Source organism: Homo sapiens, chromosome 12, assembly GCF_000001405.40.
Source record: "Homo sapiens chromosome 12, GRCh38.p14 Primary Assembly".
NCBI classification, from domain to species: domain Eukaryota; kingdom Metazoa; phylum Chordata; class Mammalia; order Primates; family Hominidae; genus Homo; species Homo sapiens.
This window is the reverse complement of record NC_000012.12, coordinates 104,281,592-104,297,570: the sequence shown is the minus strand read 5'-3', so window position 1 is coordinate 104,297,570 and position 15,979 is coordinate 104,281,592. Positions and strand designations below refer to the sequence as shown.

The window sequence follows — 15,979 nt, the reverse complement described above, 5'->3', positions numbered from 1 at the left end:
CAACATAGAGAAATCTTGTCTCTACTAAAAATACAAAATTAGCCAGACGTGGTGGCGCATGCCTGCAATCCCAGCTACTCGGGAGACTGAGGCAGGAGAATTGCTTGAACTCAGGAGGCGGAGATTGCAGTGAACTGAGATCACACAGTGCACTCCAGCCTGGGCAACAGAGCAAGACTCCATTTCAAAAACTAAATAAATAAATAAATAAATATAAATTTATTTGTCAACAAGTGTTTGTATATTACTTTTTTTTTTTTTTTTTGAGATGGAGTTTCACTCTTGTTGCCCAGGCTGGAGTGCAATGGCAGGATCTCCGCTCACCGCAACCTCCACCTCCCAGGTTCAAGCGATTCTCCTGCCTCAGCCTCCTGAGTAGCTGGGATTACAGGCGCCCGCCAACACACCCGGCTAATTTTTTGTATTTTTAGTAGGGAAGGGGTTTCACCATGTTGGCCAGGTCAGTCTCAAACTCCTGACCTCAAGTGATCCACCCGCCTCGGCCTCTCAAAGTGCTGGGATTACAGGCATGAGCCACCACACCCAGCCTGACAAATGAATTTTTAAATAAGTACATTGCTCTACAGACTTGCGTTAGAGATTACAAAGATAGTGCCTAGCCCGATGTCAACACAGGTGCTCAGTAAATACTAGCTAAATAGATGTGAAGTGACTTTGTTCCCAACTGACCTGGACACACCTGCATAGAATGCTGAAGGCAGACAATGTTGCTGTCATACAGCTTTTAATTCTGAACTGCTTTCCAATATGCTGCCTAGAATCTCTTCTGAACAACCTAGAGCTTGGTTCCTGATAGCCCATCTTCAATAAAACCAGATACCTTAGAGCTAAATCCTTTAAGTGAGTCTCTTCTGGCCCTACCACGATCTATTCACTCAATACATATTTACTGAATGCACACTAGGTATTAAAAAATAAGCCTAAGCCAACAAAAAGCCTTTTGTAAAGACCTTATCTTACAAAAAATTTAAAAATTGGCCAGGTGTGGTGGTACATGCCTGTATTCCCAGATACTCAGGCGGCTGAGGCAAGAGGATTGCTTGAGCCCAGGGGGGTTGAGGCTGCAGCGAGCCATGATAGTGCCACCGCACTCCAGCCTGGGTTAGAGCAAGACCTTGCCTCTAAAGAAATTTTTTTCAATATATGGAAGATATTAAAATGTATATTTTTTTTTAGAAGCCCAGCCTCATTGTTCTCTTAAAGAAAGTACAAGTAGGCACAGAAGAATGAAGTTCCATTCAGCAAGCATGTAATGAATGAACACCTACCATATGCCAGCACTATGCTAGGAATACCAAGATTTGCATGGGCCTGACCTCGAATCATGAGCACACCACAGCATCTCATCAAGGACACAAGCATGTATCTCAATAGCAATAACATAAGGCCAAGTGCCAGAAGTATGAGTACATGAGAGTGAGCTTTGCAGGCAAACAGGCCTGGGTTCTAGTCCTGACTCTGCCACTTAACTAGCTTGTAATCTGGGCATGCTCCTTAAATTCTCAAGGCTTTTATTTTCTCTTCTGTAAACCTGGATAATATCACCTCCTTCACAGGACTGTTGTGGGGATTTAATCACTAAGTATTAACAACATTTAGAGTCTAACACATAATAGGTATTCAACAAATAAATGTTATAATCATTAACAGGCATATTTGCTTAGGTATCTGCTGGGCTCTAACATATGCCTGGGACCACAGGCATAAAGAATAAGACTAGCTCTCTGACCTCGATATGTAAGCCAAAAAGTTATCATTGGCAGGATTCCTCCTTTTCCAAAAATAAAGACTTATGGGATTGTCGTGGGAACAGAGGAGGAAAGGAATGGAAAACTTTGGTCTTGTATTCTGAACGGGTAGGCAGTTGGAAAAGTGGGTTGTGGTAGGAAGAGAAGACAGGTGTTGAAATAAAGAATAGAAGTGAGGAGGAAAACTGTAGGGAGAAATATTTTAGCTGCAATGATAGTCCCGGGAGCCTCCAGTAAGTGAGGGAGCAGAGCAGGAGATAACCAGAAAAGCAGGTTGGGGCTAGACCCTGGAGGGCATTGAATACCAAGCTAAGGAGCTCCCATTTCGTTCTGGATGCAGATCTGGGGCCAGCGAGTAGCAATCAGGAAGATGACTGGCAATATGAGCTGGAAGAGAAGGGAGATCAGAAGTGGGAGGCCAGTTAAAGACTGATGAAATGGTCCAGGCAAAAGTAAATAGGGGCAAGAAGGTGATGCCTAGAATAGTCAGGCGCTGGTGAGTAAACAGGAGAAGTGACCGGAAATCTGAAGTCTATACCACCAGAATTTTGACGCTACTATTAAAGAACAGATACACAGCAAAAAAAGAGATTTGTGTTTACACCTGGTAGAAGTAGGAGGAGCTCAACACGACTCTACAACCAGTAAATTTCTACGTTTATTTGCAGTTCTAACAGTCTAAGACTCTAATAAATCTTGGTAGTCCTCAACCCTTACTTCCTTTTAATGTACGCCAGAGAATCTGTCACTTCCCTCATCTTCAAAGCAATCCTCCAGTCCTCCTCAGGCCTCAACTTTAATCAAGCCAAAAGCAGATACATTACTAATGCCTCCAAAAAGAAGGGATTATTTAAGAGGATAGAAACAAAATAAATTGTGTTTTCTGTCAAGTTCTGGTAGCCTCTGCAGTTAAGAATAGTTAAGAAAGGGGATGGTTGGAGAGTTATTCAATTACCACTCATGTCCTGATGTCTATTCACTTAAGATTCTGGTTTCTGGTAACTTTAGAAGTTAGACTTGAAAGGAGACCTGGCTGGGTGCAGTGGCTCACACCTGTAATCTCAGCACTTTGGGAGGCCAAGGTAGGCAGATGGCTTAAACTCACGAGTTTTGAGACCAGCCTGGACTGTGGGTGGCAAGCCACCCAGGCACCGAGGCAAGAGACAGAGGACACGAGCTGTTCCAGTATAATATAAAACAAGAATTGTTATACCAGATATAGATCTTAGATGTGATTATATATGAGTATCATTAATCATTAGTTGGTAGCAATTACTTCTTATTCCAATATTATGATAATCCTCACTCAATAATCATAGCCTAGGAAAAACCAGGCCATACAGAGATAGGAGCTGAGGGGACATAGTGAGAAGTGACCAGAAGACAAGAGTGCGAGCCTTCTGTTATGCCCGAACAGGGCCACCGGAGGGCTCCTTGGTCTAGCGGTGATGCCAGCATCTGGGAAGACGCCCGTCACCAAGAGGATCGTGGTCCAGCAGTAGCAAAAGGTGTCAAGAAACAACACCCGCTACTTAGCAGACCGGGAAAGCCGGCGGCGGGGGGGGGGGCCTTTCCCCGGGGGAGTTTAGAGAAGACTCTGCTCCTCCACCTCTTGTGGAGGGCCTGACATCAGTCAGGCTCGCCCGCAGTTATCCGGAGGCCTAACCGTCTCCCTGTGATGCTGTGCTTCAGTGGTCACACTCCTAGTCCGCCTTCATGTTCCATCCTGTACACCTGGCTCTGCCTTCCAGACAGCAGTAGTAAATTAGTGAAAATACTAATAGTCCCTGATGTGTAGAAATAATGGCGTAAGCTGTCTTTCTCTTTGTCTCCTCTCCCTCTCTGCCTCGGCTGCCAGGCAGGGAAGGGCCCCCTGTCCAGTGGACACATGACCCACGTGACCTTACCTATCATTGGAGGTGACTCACATTCTTTACCCTGCCCCTTCTGCCTTGTATCCAATAAATAATAGTGCAGCCCGACATTCGGGGCCACTACCGGTCTCCGCGCATTGGTGGTAGCGGTCCCCCGGGCCCAGCTGCCTTTTCTCTTATCTCTTTGTCTTGTGTCTTTATTTCTACACTCTCTCGTCGCCGCACACAGGGAGAGACCCACCGACCCTGTGGGGCTGGTCCCTACACTGGACAACATGGTGAAACCCCCAATATACAAAAAATACAAAAATAAGCTGGGTGAGGTGGTGTGCGCTTGTAGTTCCAGCTATTCGGGAGGCTGAGGTGGGAGGATGGGTTAAGCCCAGGAGGCGAAGGTTGCAATGAGCCAATATCAAGCCACTGCACTGGGCAATAGAGCCAGACCTTGTCTCAAAACATAAAAGGAGACCTGCCTTTGTCTCAGCATCTACCCCCCAAGACTGGAACATGGGGCCACCGCAACTGTCTGCAAAATTCACCTGGATATTAATCCCGCATTGCTTGGTGCCTGTCATCTCTCCTAATATTGCCCTGAAGAAATTATTTAAGCCCTGAGTTGTCAGTTTTAGTCTTATCTCCCAGGATTACCTCAAACTACTAAAGTCTTAACTATGTCTGACACTTGGTATTATTCCAGTAAATACTTTTTCACTCACTCTGCTTCTCCTCTCAGTACCACCAATAGGCCTCTCTACAAGTGATTTCAAAACCCTGGAATCCTGAGGGAGATGCTGATTTACATACAAAAGAGGTTCCCTATAAGAATACTGGAACTTTGCTTTAAAAACCAAGATGTTTATGAAAGCCACATCTTTGAGCAGTAGGAACTCTATTCATAGTTCTTAACCATCTTGGAGGTCCCTAGTTCCAACTTTATACATGGACATACAAAAGCCCTGGCTGCAAACAGCTTGGTTCCCTATTTTTCTATTCATTGTTAAAGTGTTCAACAAAAAGTGTTCCTCCCCCATTGGGTTCCTATTTGCTGTTTTCTAACAAATATGTTTTGGGTATTAAAGACTAGTCCTTTGTTTTCCGCAATTCTAATTATCTCATCAAATGATCTTGATCAAACTACCCTATGTACAATAATATTAAAGCGTCTCAAACTTGACATTTATCCTAAAAATTATTGGAGGGAGCTTATTTAAAACAAAACAAAAACAATAAGGCAAGCCGGGCGTGGTGGCTCACACTGTAATCCCAGCACTTTGGGAGGCCGAGGTGGGTGGATCACCTGTGGTCAGGAGATCGAGACCAGCCCGACCAACATGGCAAAACCACATCTCTACTAAAAAAATACAAAATTAGCCAGGCATGGTGGTGCATGCCTATAATCCCAGCTACTTGAGAGGCTGAGGCAGGAGAACCACACCACTTGAACCCAGGAGGTGGAGGTTGCAGTGAGCTGAGTTCATGCCACTGCACTCCAGCCCAGGCAACAAGAGCAGAACTCCATCTCAAAAAAAAAAGGCGGGGGGGCGGGGGTAGATTCCTAGCTCTTTCCCGAGTCTACTTCAAAAGAACTCGGGTAAAGCCTGGGCATGCATAATTAACGAGTACTCCAGGGGATTCTGAGCAGGTGGTCTGGAGACTACACTTTTTTGGAACACTCTTCTGCAAAGCTTTCATCCTTTATCAAGGGAGTCACCTAGGCTCACCAACTTCTTCCAGCAGGATTCTTTCTCCCTTGTCTTCTATAGTACACTCACTGTGAAAGCAGGGTAGGTTTTGCTGCTGTTGTTTATTCAGGGAAAAGGGGATGAGGAAGAAACAATATTAAAAGGAGAAAGGAAAAGTGGACATTTTGAAGAGCTCCCTCCATTATTTATGTTGCAATTAAAGTATGAAATCTTAACCTTCTTTTTAAAGGTGTGGCCTTTAGGACTATAAGCACTCAATTCTCCACTAAATAAATGCCTTTCTCCACTGAAACCCAAAGCTCCCTTAAGGGTTTCAAAACCTACCATTTAGCCCCAAATGTGGGCAATAATTGGCTGAAAAGTTCACAGATCTTTCAAACCAATAGTCCTTACCTTGCTGTTTCTCCTTTCATTTTTTAGCACTCATTAAAAAACAAAAATAGGGCTGGGCCCGGTGGCTCACGCCCATAATCCCAGCACTTTGGAAGGCCGAAGTGGGTGGATCACGGCGTCAAAAGTTCAAGACCAGCCTGGCCAAGATGGTGAAACCTTGTCTCTACTAAAAATACAAAAATTAGCTAGGCACGGTGGCAGGCGCCTGTAATCCCAGCTACTCGGGAGGCTGAGGCAGGAGAATCACTTGAACCCGAGGGGCAGAGGTTGCAGTGAGCCAAGATCGCGCCACTGAACTCCAGCCTGGGCAACAGAGTGAGACTCCTTCTCAAAAAAAAAAAAAAAAAAAAAGCTGGGTGCGGTGGGTCACACTTGTAATCCCAGCGCTTTGGACTACAAGGTCAGGAGTTCGAGACCAGCCTGACCAACATGGTGAAACCCCATCTCTACTAAAAATACAAAAATTAGCAGGGTGTGGTGGCGTGTGCCTGTAATCCCAGCTACTCGGGAGGCTGAGGCAGGAAAATCGCTTGAACCTGGGAGGTAGAGGTTGCGGTAAGCCAAGATCATGCCACTGCACTCCAGCCTGAGCAACAGAGCGAGACTTTGTCTCAAAAAAAAAAAAAAAAAAAAAAGACACAAAGTAGAATAAGTTTACTTAAGAAATATGCTAAATGATTTCTTTTAAGTGTTCTTGATGGTATGCTTTTCATTCATGGCACTATACCTCACTAAATGTCGTGACCTGCAGTCCCAGCACTTTAGGAGGCCGAGGCCGGATGATCGCTTGAGCCCAGGAGTTCAAGACCAGCCTGGACAACATAATGAGACCTCCATCTCTAAAGAAAAAAAAGTTTTCAATTAAAAAAAAAGAAAAAACATCAGAACATCAGACCAAATCAATTAAGTGAGTTCCAAAGCTTATAAAAAGAGTGACTCTTTTTACTCCCATTGCCATTAAAACCAGGAGTATCAGTAGAATTACATAAAGATCAAATTACTATATAACTTTGTAAATGTAAACTTATGGCACAGGTGAAAATAATAGAATAATCAGACAGGAAGAAATATACATATATATATATATATATATATATATATATATATATATGTATATTTCTTTTTTTTTTTTTTTGAGACAGGGTCTCACTGTCACCTAGGCCAGGGTGCAGTGGCGCAATCTCAGCTCATTGCAACCTCCACCTCCAGGTTCAAGTTGATTCCCCAGCCTCAGCCTCAGTCCCAGAGTAGCTGGGACCAGAGGCATGTGCCACCAAGCCCTGGCTAATTTTTTTATTTCTAGTAGAGACGGGGTTTCACCGTGTTGCCCAGGCTGATCTGGAACTCCTGAGCTCAAAGCAATCCGCCTGCCTCGGCCTCCCAAGGTGCTGGGATTACAAGTGTGAGCCACCGCACCCGGCCAGGAAGGAATATTAATATAATAGACCGTTATCTCTTTTTACCTGCAAACTAAAGGTCTGAGTAACACAATATATTTTAACTAAAGCTAAAAGCCTCTGTATTTCCATTAATTTTCCATTAATTTGCTGTTTGAAGTCTAGATCCATTCCCTATAACCATTTGTCAAAAATAAATAAAATACTTTTAAAAGAAAAGGTAATAAATAAAAATTCAAATTATTAGTATTTTTCCTAAGGCTGCAACACATCTAAATATATTTTTACATTTAACGCAGGCGTTAGGTTTACTTCTAAGAAGGCAATGTTTTCATTTCTTAAAAATTACAGAGATATAAATGGATAAGGACAAAAATCACATGGATCGTGGTGATGGGACTACGGGAAGTTTTCTAACCTGGTAATCTACCACAGGTGAGATAGAACATCACCCAGGTGTCCTGTTCCCTTAAACATGCACCCAGCCGTGGATCATCTGAGGTCAGGAGTTTGAGACCAGCCTGGCCAGCATGGTGAAGCTGGGTGTAGTGGCGGGCACCTGTAATCTCAGCTACTCGGGAGGCTGAGGCAGGAGAATTGCTTGAACCCAGGAGGTGGAGGTTGCAGTGATACAAGATCACGCCACTGCACTCCAGTGCACTCTGGGTGACAGAGCAAGACTGTTTTTTTTTTTTAAATACATAAATAAAACATACATACACCCAGCCTCCAAGCATTTTTCTAACACTGTAGGCTATAAATCCCTCAGTGGCTATAACTCCTCAGTAGCATAGGTCTAAGGAAGGATTTCTACTGCGTTTGCTACCAGCCAAAGGGAAGACTTCTTCCTTTCCCTTCACCCAACTATTAACTCTGGGCTAAAAAGACACACCTGAAGGAAAACGAAGTCACCCCAAGAGCTTCCTGGTTGCTCTCCTCCAGACCCTGGGGTTTCCGGGTCCCCTACCCCTGAGAGAATTAAGAGGAAGATTACAGGGCCACCTTGATGACAAAGATAAGCATTTCCTGATCCCCTTTTCTCAGGACTTCCCTAAACAACTAACATTTAGCAGATTACATTGCTGCTAAAAAATGTTATTTACAACTGGGAGGGAAAGAGGAAGGGGAAATAGGAGAAAAAGGACATTTTTAAAAAGCTATTTTAAAAGATAAAAAGCGTTAGAAATTTCAAGTTTCCCGAGATGTGAAATTTGTCCAACGTCTCATCAACTTCGATTAACACATGCGCTAGCCCACGAGCGTTTTTCGTCATTTCCCAGCGCTGCGTCCCGTTTGGAGGGTCACATCCACGCTGGCTTTAAAAGGCAGGCTGTGACCACGCTGAGCTCAACGAGCTCATCCCCCGTTTAAAAAGATACGTTACTCTCTCCTACCTTCAAGGTTGGACCATGGCCGCCTATCTTTCTCTGTTTCACAAACACAACGGGCAGATCGGTTTCCGCGGCCAATTCCGAGAGCGTTCCTTCCAGGGCCCGACCGTCCTCTGTGTGGCACAAAAGCAGAGCGGAGCGTGTAAGGTGCTTCTCCCCCGCTAACAGGCGGGAACTGCGCCGGGGGCGGGGCTTCCGTCCCGGCCCCGCAGGCACCGCGTGCCCTCTGTTGACTCCCTTGCAAGTTAGCATGACTTGCTGCATTTCTGACAAAGGCTAGAACTCACAATCAAGCTTGGAGTCTGACCCCGGCAAATCCGCACACTGGCTGAAAACATGGCCTCAAGGCTAGCTGTAAACGTCAGAGTTCTAGTCAGGGTTAAATCATTGCACTACTCCGCTAAAATTAAACGTCCTACTTTCCCGGTAAATCCCGAATTCAGAAAAGCTTCAAAAAAGAAGCTTAATACACGTTTATCTCAACTTTCACAAAACACCTCCCAGTTTGATCTTGCTTTCAACTCTGCATCTATACTGAATGCCAAAATCCAACTTCCAACGTTTCCTTGACATTTGAAACCGTGGAGCAAAATTAAGAACACTCTGCCTACCTGGTGCATTCTTAAAAAGAATCCTGAAGCAATACACAACGCTACAGATGAAACTAGGCACTAATGGTAAAATTTCACAAAGGGGTGAACTCAGTGGAACATACAGATTCCACAGTTACACTGACATGAGGCCTATTCATTAGACATAAATCACGCCAACATTCAAAAGTATAGCTGCTTATTTGGGAGGCCGAGGCGGGTGGATCATGAGGTCAGGAGTTCAAGACCAGCCTGGCCAAGATGGTGAAACCCTGTCTCTACTAAAAATACAAAAATTAGTCGGGCGCGGTGGCAGGTGCCTGTAATCCCAGCTACTCAGGAGGCTGAGGCAGGAGAATCGCTTGAACCCAGGGGGCGAAGGTTGCAGTGAGCCCAGATCGTGCCACTGCACTCCAGCCTGGGCGACAGAATGAGACTCCGTCTCAAAAAACAAACAAACAAAAAAAACCAACAAAAAACAAAAAACAAAGTATAGCTGCTTAATTGTAATAATAGTAGCTAACATGTCTATACTGCTTCACATATATTTACATTTCAACTTCACAACCACTCTACAAGTAAGTATTACCAGGCCCAACTTACAGACAGGGAAACAGGTACAGAAAAGCTAAGAAACTTGTCCAAGCTCAAGGAGCTACTCAAAAGCAGCGGCAGGATTCAAACCCAGGCAATGTGGTCGACGCGTTTAATCACTGTCCTGTACTGCCTGAGAGAGTGAGGAAGCCCTGGGGTCGTCGTCGCCGCCCCATTTAATAGTCTGTGTCCAGCTGGGCACGCCACTTGATCTTTCTGAGCCTTGCTTTCCCTACTTGTAAAAACATGGAGACCCCATGTGTTTTGCCAACGTCTCAGGATTTCTGAGGATTAAATGGTGTGAAAATTCCTAGAGAAGCATTCTTACATAGTTATACTTTCTTAATATTCTCAAGGATCTGTCAGTCCACTCAACACATTGTCATCTACATTTCAAGACTCGGACTCTGTAAGAAACGATACAATACCCATTTTCTCCGCTGTTCTGCAAACTGTCTCTACAAAGACCAAGAGGAAGGAAACCGCCAGCCTACAGGCGCCGGCCTCACCTACCACATGACATGCTGAAGCTTTGTGTGACCGGGTCGAAACCGCACACGCCACGAAGCTGCCTGGGTTTGGAAAAGCCTCCCCGTCTGCTCAGACACGCCTTAAAATATCTTCCCTTCCCCGAGACGCACACTGCTGCACCCAGGCGCAATGCTGTCGTCCCCGCCGGCAGGCCGTCCCCCGCGTGCTCCCATCCCTGGGCTCGCGGCTTTGTCTGGTTTCACCCGACGCAGAGCTTACAAGAATTTGAGAATGATGAAGACATCAGGCCCTCCTTCAGGACTCGACCACCTTTCGCTCTGCTGCAAATGCCGGAGTGAAGAAAACTGAGGTGAAAGGGTTGCTGTTTCCTAATGGCTACGAGAAGCCACGCCCTGCGCCGAGCGGGCGGGCTAACTGCCAGAGTCAGAATGACAAAGCAGAAATCCACTCCTCGTGCAGCCCTGGCAACCTATGCTAATTGCCTCGTAAGCTGAGAGCTCCTAATTGGGTGACACCACATCCTCTGCCTGCTCATAGCCGCCCCCAACCTAAGAACAGAGCAAAAACAATTTAAGGCAATTCTGGAACCAAATTTGGAATAAGTGTGTTTTTACTGAAGAAATTAGACTATGCCCTAAGGCAGTAGCTACAGAACTTTGCTAGCTGTTGTCATCACGTGAGGGTCTTTAGAATCCTGGTGCCTGGCTCCCACCCCTAGACATTCTGATGTCATTGGTGTGGAGTGTGACCTGGGCCTCTGCGTTTAAAAAAAAAAAAAAAACTCCAAAGGTGATTGAGTTGGCAGCAAAGTTTGGGACCCACTGCCTTAAGGTCATGGATTAGTCAGTTTGGCAGTTCCCTAAAGGAAGTTATTAGGCTTTTGAAAAGAAATGTCTAGTTCATCCTGACTAATCCTGAAAAGAAATGACAAATTCTTAGGAACACACCTAACTTCCCCTGAGAGCACCTCTTCCTTATTAGATTCTAAGTTTGGTATTTATTGTTTTTTTTAAGAAAAACTCAGAGTGTCTTTTAACTCCAGCTGCACCCAGCCACCTGCAGCTACTAAGGTGAGCCATGCTCTCTCATGCTTCCCTGCTCTTACTCATGTTCTTATTCAGCACTGTGCACTAGCAGGCTATGAATATTTGCTGAATAAATACATAATAACTGAATGAAGGAAGGAAGGAAGGAATGTCTTTCCCACTTCTTTGGATAATGCCAGATTGAAGCACTCTCAGCTGAGAGCGTTGCGGGCTCCTAACAGCCAGCAGAAGCCACACTCCCTCTAAACAAACAGGCAACCACTGCCAGGTCCTGCCAGGCCCTTCCAAGGTGAAACTCAGAGGCTTGATTTAGCTTCTTCACCCTCTAAATGGGCACACACACACACTACACACACTAACTTGACACTTCCCCTGTAAGGTGATTATTGACATGAGTGTTTGATTATTGACATGAGTGTTTCACCTGATTCTGGAGTCCCTAGAACAGAGAATGGATCTAGTACGTGGGTGTTGAGGAAACAATGTGATTTAAGGAGGAAAGAAGGAAAAACATGAAAAGACTGGGTCTAAGGGAGAACAAAAAACATTTACTCCTGGCTCCCAAGCCAAGTTCTGTATTAATAATTTTATATGCCTTTATCTCATTTAGTCTACCGAATGACCCATGAACCAGGGTCATAAACTCCTCATTCTTAGAAATATATTGAAAATACACCTTATTTCAAAAGCATGACTTAGGACACAGAAGGATCATTTAACTTGAAATAATGTACTAAAAGCAAGTAATAAGGATTGATTTGAAGAGGCTTGCCATTAAAAGCATCTTGTATAGACAGCTCAGAGTGATTATAATTAATATTTTCTAACGGCATTCCAAAACAGGCTAGATAAGGCATTTTAACTTCACATTGTTCCTAAGTGAGCAAATTATAGCAAAGATGCCCAGAGTAGCACCATGTAGTTATTTTTCTTTAAATTAAAATCACCATTTTAAAACCATCTTCTTTTCTTTCAAATCCTTCTTGCTGCTGTTAAGAGCCCAGATGCCTTACCCTTGTCGTGAATTCTAGAGGAAAAACTCCTTAGTTCTATTTAGTTGCTGGTTAATGGAAGAAGAACCTCATCTTCTTCCACCATTTCTCATCATGCAGCAATTTATTTATTTATTTGTTTGTTTGTTTGTTTGTTTGACAGTCTCTTGCTCTGTTGCTCTGGCTGGAGTGCAGTGGCGCATCTCAGCTCACTGCAACCTCCACCTCCCTGCTTCCAGCGATTCTCATGCCTCAGCCTCCCAAGTAGCTGGGACTACAGGCATGCACCACCACACCTGGCTAATTTTTTGTATTTTTAGTAGAAATGGGGTTTCAACACGTTGGCCAGGATGGTCAAACTCCTAGCCTCAAGGGATCCGTCTGCTTCAGCCTCCCAAAGTGCTGGGATTACAGGTGTGAGCCACTGTGCCTGGCCGTAGCAAATCATAAACATAAAATGTTTTAATCATACATTTCGCATCTCTTGACTGGGCTCATTCTTCCTTTTCAGAATTATCTTCCCTCCCTAAGGGCCTAGTCCTTCAAAGCTCATCTGAAATGTCACCTCCTCTGGGAGTCTTCCTGGATTTTCACCCAGTGTTAATTGCTCCTTCCCTCTTCTTTGTCCCCCAAATACCTAATAATAATTACAAATCTTCTACAAGAGCTTTGGATAGGCAAACCCTTGTTTATTTTGTCTTTACAGAATCTGGTATATAGTAGGTACTCAGAAAATGCTGGAAATAGACCTCTCTATGTTCCTGAACTGTCATCTAAGCTATAACAAATTTATGCAGGTGTTTGATAAAGGCTCCTATTGTATTAAACTACTGTTCTACCTATAATAAGCCTTTCTCTCATACACACACACACACCATACTGAGCTAGAATGATCTTTCTAACACCTAAATCTTCTTTACTCAAACCTTCAGTAGCTCTCTAGGGCCCTCAATATGAAGTCCAAGCTTCTCAGTCGCGTTGACATGGCAAGGCCCACCCTTGCTGAACCTAGCTGTCCACATATTCTGTACTCCACTTAAAGCAGGAAACATTGCTGAAGGAAACACAGAAATTAAAAGTGATTTCACTTTAAAGTTAAGACCACAAACTTCAAATGTATCCTCAAGGTTGCCCAGCAATCCTTTGCATCCCTGGAATATTTGTTTTCTCAGGATCCAAAATGACCATTTCACACGTATCCCTCTTTCCTCAAACTTCTAATGCCCCTACACCTTGCATTAGCTCATGACCTACTTTCTACTTTAAGAAAATAGCATCAATCAGACAGAACTCCCTTAACCAGCAAGCTGCCATATTCTCTGCCTTCACTCTTATTATTTCCTGATGAGAAAAAAAGTGGTAGGTAGTGAAGTCAGGAGTAGCCAGAGGTCAGACCCATTATCAGGCCACAGTCAGGATTTTGGATTTCATTTTATTTTTATTTATTTATTTATTTTGAGAGAGAGAGTTTTGTTCTTGTTGCCCTGGCTGGAGGGCAATGGCACTATCTCGGCTCACCGCAGCCTCCGCCTCTCAGGTTCCAGTGATTCTCCTGCCTCAGCCTCCTGAGTAGATGGGATTATAGGCATGTGCCACCACGCCTGGCTAATTTTGTATTTTTAGTATAGACGGGGTTTCTCCATGTTGGTCAGGCTGGCCTCCAACTCCCAACTACAGGTGATCCGCCTGCCTCGGCCTCCCAAAGTGCTGGGATTACAGGTGTGAGCCACTGCACCCAGCCTGGATTTCATTTTAAATGTGTTAAGAAGCCAGAGTGTGAGGCCGGGTGCAATGGCTCACGGCTGAAATCCCAACACTTTGGGAGGCGGAGGCAGGTGGATTACGAGGTCAGGAGTGCGAGGCCAGCCTGGCCAACATGGTGAAACCCCGTCTCTACTAAAAATACAAAAATTAGCTGGGCATGGTGGTGGGCGCCTGTAATCTCAGCTACTCAGGAGGTTGAGGCAGGAGAATCGCTTGAACCCAGGAGACGGAAGTTGCGGTGAGCCGAGATCATGCCATTGTACTCCAGCCTGGACAACAAGAGCAAGACTCCGTCTCAAAAAAACAAAAACAAAAACAAAAAAGACAGTGTGAAGAGAAGAGAAGGAAATGATTGTTGTACATTCAAAGAATTGCTGTTATGTGGAGAATAGTGAAGTCCAACTTCACTTGTGTATGGATTCTCATCTTTTATTTCCTTCTTAATATTAATGAACATCACTCTTGAAGTTAGCCTCCCTCTCTGGCATCATCAATTGCTTGTTCTCTACCTGATCATTTACATCATCATACAAATGCATTGTTGTTTTACCATTTTAAAAAAGCCTCCCGACCTGGTGCAGTAACTTACACTTGTAATCCCAGCATGTTGGGAGGCTGAGGCAGGAGGATTGCTTCAGGCCAGCAGTTCAAGACTAGTGTGTACAACATAGCAAGACCTTGTCTCTACAAAAAAAATTATAAAAGTCAGCCAGGTGTGGTGGTACCTGCCTGTAGTCCTAGCTACTTGGAAAGCTGAGGTGGGAGGATCACTTGAGCCCAGGAGTTTGAGGCTGCAGTAAGCCATGATCATGCCACTGCTCTTCAGCCTGGATGACAGAGCAAAACTGTTCCCAAAAAGAAAGAAAAGGCTCTCATGATCCCATGTGCCCCAACCCTTGCAGTTACCACCACCCCATTTCATTGCTCTCCTTCACACACACACACAAAGCTTTTCTGAAAGAGTTCTTTGTACCTTGAAGAAGAATAAAGTAGGGTAGGGAAGTCAGGAAAGATCTCAGAATGTGATGCTTGAGCAGAGCCCACAGTGCTATGAGGGAACAGGCCATGAGAGTACCTAGGGAAGAAATCTTTCTAAGCAGAGGAAAGAGGAGGTACTTGTGAAAGCTGATCATAAAATTGGGTCATTCTTGTCATTCCCAATTAAATCAGAGCCAAGGGGCTAGGGGGAAAAGCACTCAGGGTACAAAACATTGCTCCAAGAATGTAATTCTCTGCAAGCCTGACTGCTGAAACTGCCTGTTGTAACCTGAGACCAGCTTTATCTATAAATGCTAAGAGAACTTGCTGAAACTCTAGGACTAATTTTGCCCACTGCCATCACTCACCAGAGCTTGCTAGCTCCCCAAACCCTAACTAGTCCCAAAGAACTTTCTTGAAGAGCAATATGTAACAGCTCTCCTGTTTCTAAAACCTCTAACCTTCTCTTTGTTCTTCAGACATACTGAAGACCACCCTGTCTGCATATATGCCCCAAATTGCTATTCTTTCTTTCCAAATAAAAAATTTTAATTTAGAGACTTGTCTCACATTTTTATTCTGGCTTCAACATACTAAAGCCCTAAGCTAGGAGTCTGCTTGACTTATCCAAGAATCCACAAAGTAACCAGTATGTCTAAAGCCTAATGAGTGAGAAAAAAAGTGGTAGGAAGTGAGGTCAGAGGAATAGCCAGGGGTCACATCCATCATCAGGCCATAGTCAGGATTTTGGATTTCATTTTAAATGTGGTAAGATGCCAGAGTGTGAAGAGAAGAGAAGGAAATGATTGTTGTATGATAAAATAATTGCTCAGTTGTGTGGAAAATAGGCTAAGGAGGGCAGGGACTTAAAAGTGGAGATATGGCCGGGCTCGGTGGCTCATGTCTGTAATCCCAGCACTTCAGGAGGCTGAGGCGGGCGGATCACGAGGTCAGGAGATTGAGATGAGCCTGGCTAACACAGTGAAACCCCATCTC

General features: G+C 44.4%; 1 protein-coding gene across 7 annotated transcripts in view, besides 11 other annotated features; it reads right to left on the bottom strand.

Annotated features, from left to right (window-relative positions):
• TXNRD1 (thioredoxin reductase 1) overlaps nt 1-15,979 on the bottom strand; it is a 134,529-nt gene that overhangs the window by 52,737 nt on the left and 65,813 nt on the right. For 2 of the 7 annotated variants that reach the window (NM_182729.3, NM_001261446.2), the window contains exons 1-2: nt 10,462-10,539; nt 8,531-8,640 (exon numbers count right to left, since the gene is read on the bottom strand). Coding sequence is in view for 3 of the 7 variants with exons in the window: in NM_003330.4 (NP_003321.3) it covers nt 8,531-8,640; nt 10,225-10,234 (120 nt within the window). In the remaining 4 variants the exon portion in view is untranslated. Of the gene's footprint in view, nt 1-8,530; nt 8,641-10,139; nt 10,540-15,979 lie in introns of those variants that run through there. The other 5 variants (NM_001261445.2, NM_003330.4, NM_001093771.3 and 2 more) reach the window with 5 other exon arrangements.
• Nucleotides 8,659-9,204: an enhancer, noted in NCBI's record as "H3K27ac hESC enhancer chr12:104682145-104682690 (GRCh37/hg19 assembly coordinates)". NCBI's record gives its function as "activates a minimal SCP1, AML or CMV promoter by ChIP-STARR-seq in naive H9 embryonic stem cells {active_cell/tissue: H9 hESC(naive)}" and the evidence as "EXISTENCE:reporter gene assay evidence [ECO:0000049][PMID:30033119]".
• Nucleotides 8,663-8,792: a silencer, noted in NCBI's record as "silent region_4792". NCBI's record gives its function as "represses an Ori minimal core promoter by ATAC-STARR-seq in GM12878 lymphoblastoid cells {active_cell/tissue: GM12878}" and the evidence as "EXISTENCE:reporter gene assay evidence [ECO:0000049][PMID:35858748]".
• Nucleotides 9,205-9,752: an enhancer, noted in NCBI's record as "H3K27ac hESC enhancer chr12:104681597-104682144 (GRCh37/hg19 assembly coordinates)". NCBI's record gives its function as "activates a minimal SCP1, AML or CMV promoter by ChIP-STARR-seq in primed H9 embryonic stem cells {active_cell/tissue: H9 hESC(primed)}" and the evidence as "EXISTENCE:reporter gene assay evidence [ECO:0000049][PMID:30033119]".
• Nucleotides 9,753-10,298: an enhancer, noted in NCBI's record as "NANOG-H3K27ac-H3K4me1 hESC enhancer chr12:104681051-104681596 (GRCh37/hg19 assembly coordinates)". NCBI's record gives its function as "activates a minimal SCP1, AML or CMV promoter by ChIP-STARR-seq in primed H9 embryonic stem cells {active_cell/tissue: H9 hESC(primed)}" and the evidence as "EXISTENCE:reporter gene assay evidence [ECO:0000049][PMID:30033119]".
• Nucleotides 9,753-11,338: a biological region, named in NCBI's record as "P300/CBP strongly-dependent group 1 enhancer GRCh37_chr12:104680011-104681210".
• Nucleotides 10,090-10,159: an enhancer, noted in NCBI's record as "active region_6907". NCBI's record gives its function as "activates an Ori minimal core promoter by ATAC-STARR-seq in GM12878 lymphoblastoid cells {active_cell/tissue: GM12878}" and the evidence as "EXISTENCE:reporter gene assay evidence [ECO:0000049][PMID:35858748]".
• Nucleotides 10,139-11,338: an enhancer, noted in NCBI's record as "P300/CBP strongly-dependent group 1 enhancer chr12:104680011-104681210 (GRCh37/hg19 assembly coordinates)". NCBI's record gives its function as "activates an origin of replication core promoter dependent on BRD2, BRD4, P300/CBP, MED14 and CDK7 cofactors, with strong dependence on P300/CBP, by STARR-seq in HCT116 cells {active_cell/tissue: HCT116}" and the evidence as "EXISTENCE:reporter gene assay evidence [ECO:0000049][PMID:35650434]".
• Nucleotides 10,270-10,649: an enhancer, noted in NCBI's record as "active region_6906". NCBI's record gives its function as "activates an Ori minimal core promoter by ATAC-STARR-seq in GM12878 lymphoblastoid cells {active_cell/tissue: GM12878}" and the evidence as "EXISTENCE:reporter gene assay evidence [ECO:0000049][PMID:35858748]".
• Nucleotides 10,299-10,846: an enhancer, noted in NCBI's record as "NANOG-H3K27ac-H3K4me1 hESC enhancer chr12:104680503-104681050 (GRCh37/hg19 assembly coordinates)". NCBI's record gives its function as "activates a minimal SCP1, AML or CMV promoter by ChIP-STARR-seq in primed H9 embryonic stem cells {active_cell/tissue: H9 hESC(primed)}" and the evidence as "EXISTENCE:reporter gene assay evidence [ECO:0000049][PMID:30033119]".
• Nucleotides 10,604-10,773: an enhancer, noted in NCBI's record as "experimental_23834 CRE fragment used in MPRA reporter constructs". NCBI's record gives its function as "activates a minimal promoter by MPRAs in K562 erythroleukemia cells, with activity observed for both the introgressed and non-introgressed 12:104680661 variant alleles {active_cell/tissue: K562}" and the evidence as "EXISTENCE:reporter gene assay evidence [ECO:0000049][PMID:34662402]".
• Nucleotides 15,206-15,500: a silencer, noted in NCBI's record as "tiled region #5029; HepG2 Repressive non-DNase unmatched - State 23:Low, and K562 Repressive DNase matched - State 8:EnhW". NCBI's record gives its function as "represses a minimal TATA promoter and a strong SV40 promoter by Sharpr-MPRA in HepG2 and K562 cells {active_cell/tissue: HepG2 | K562}" and the evidence as "EXISTENCE:reporter gene assay evidence [ECO:0000049][PMID:27701403]".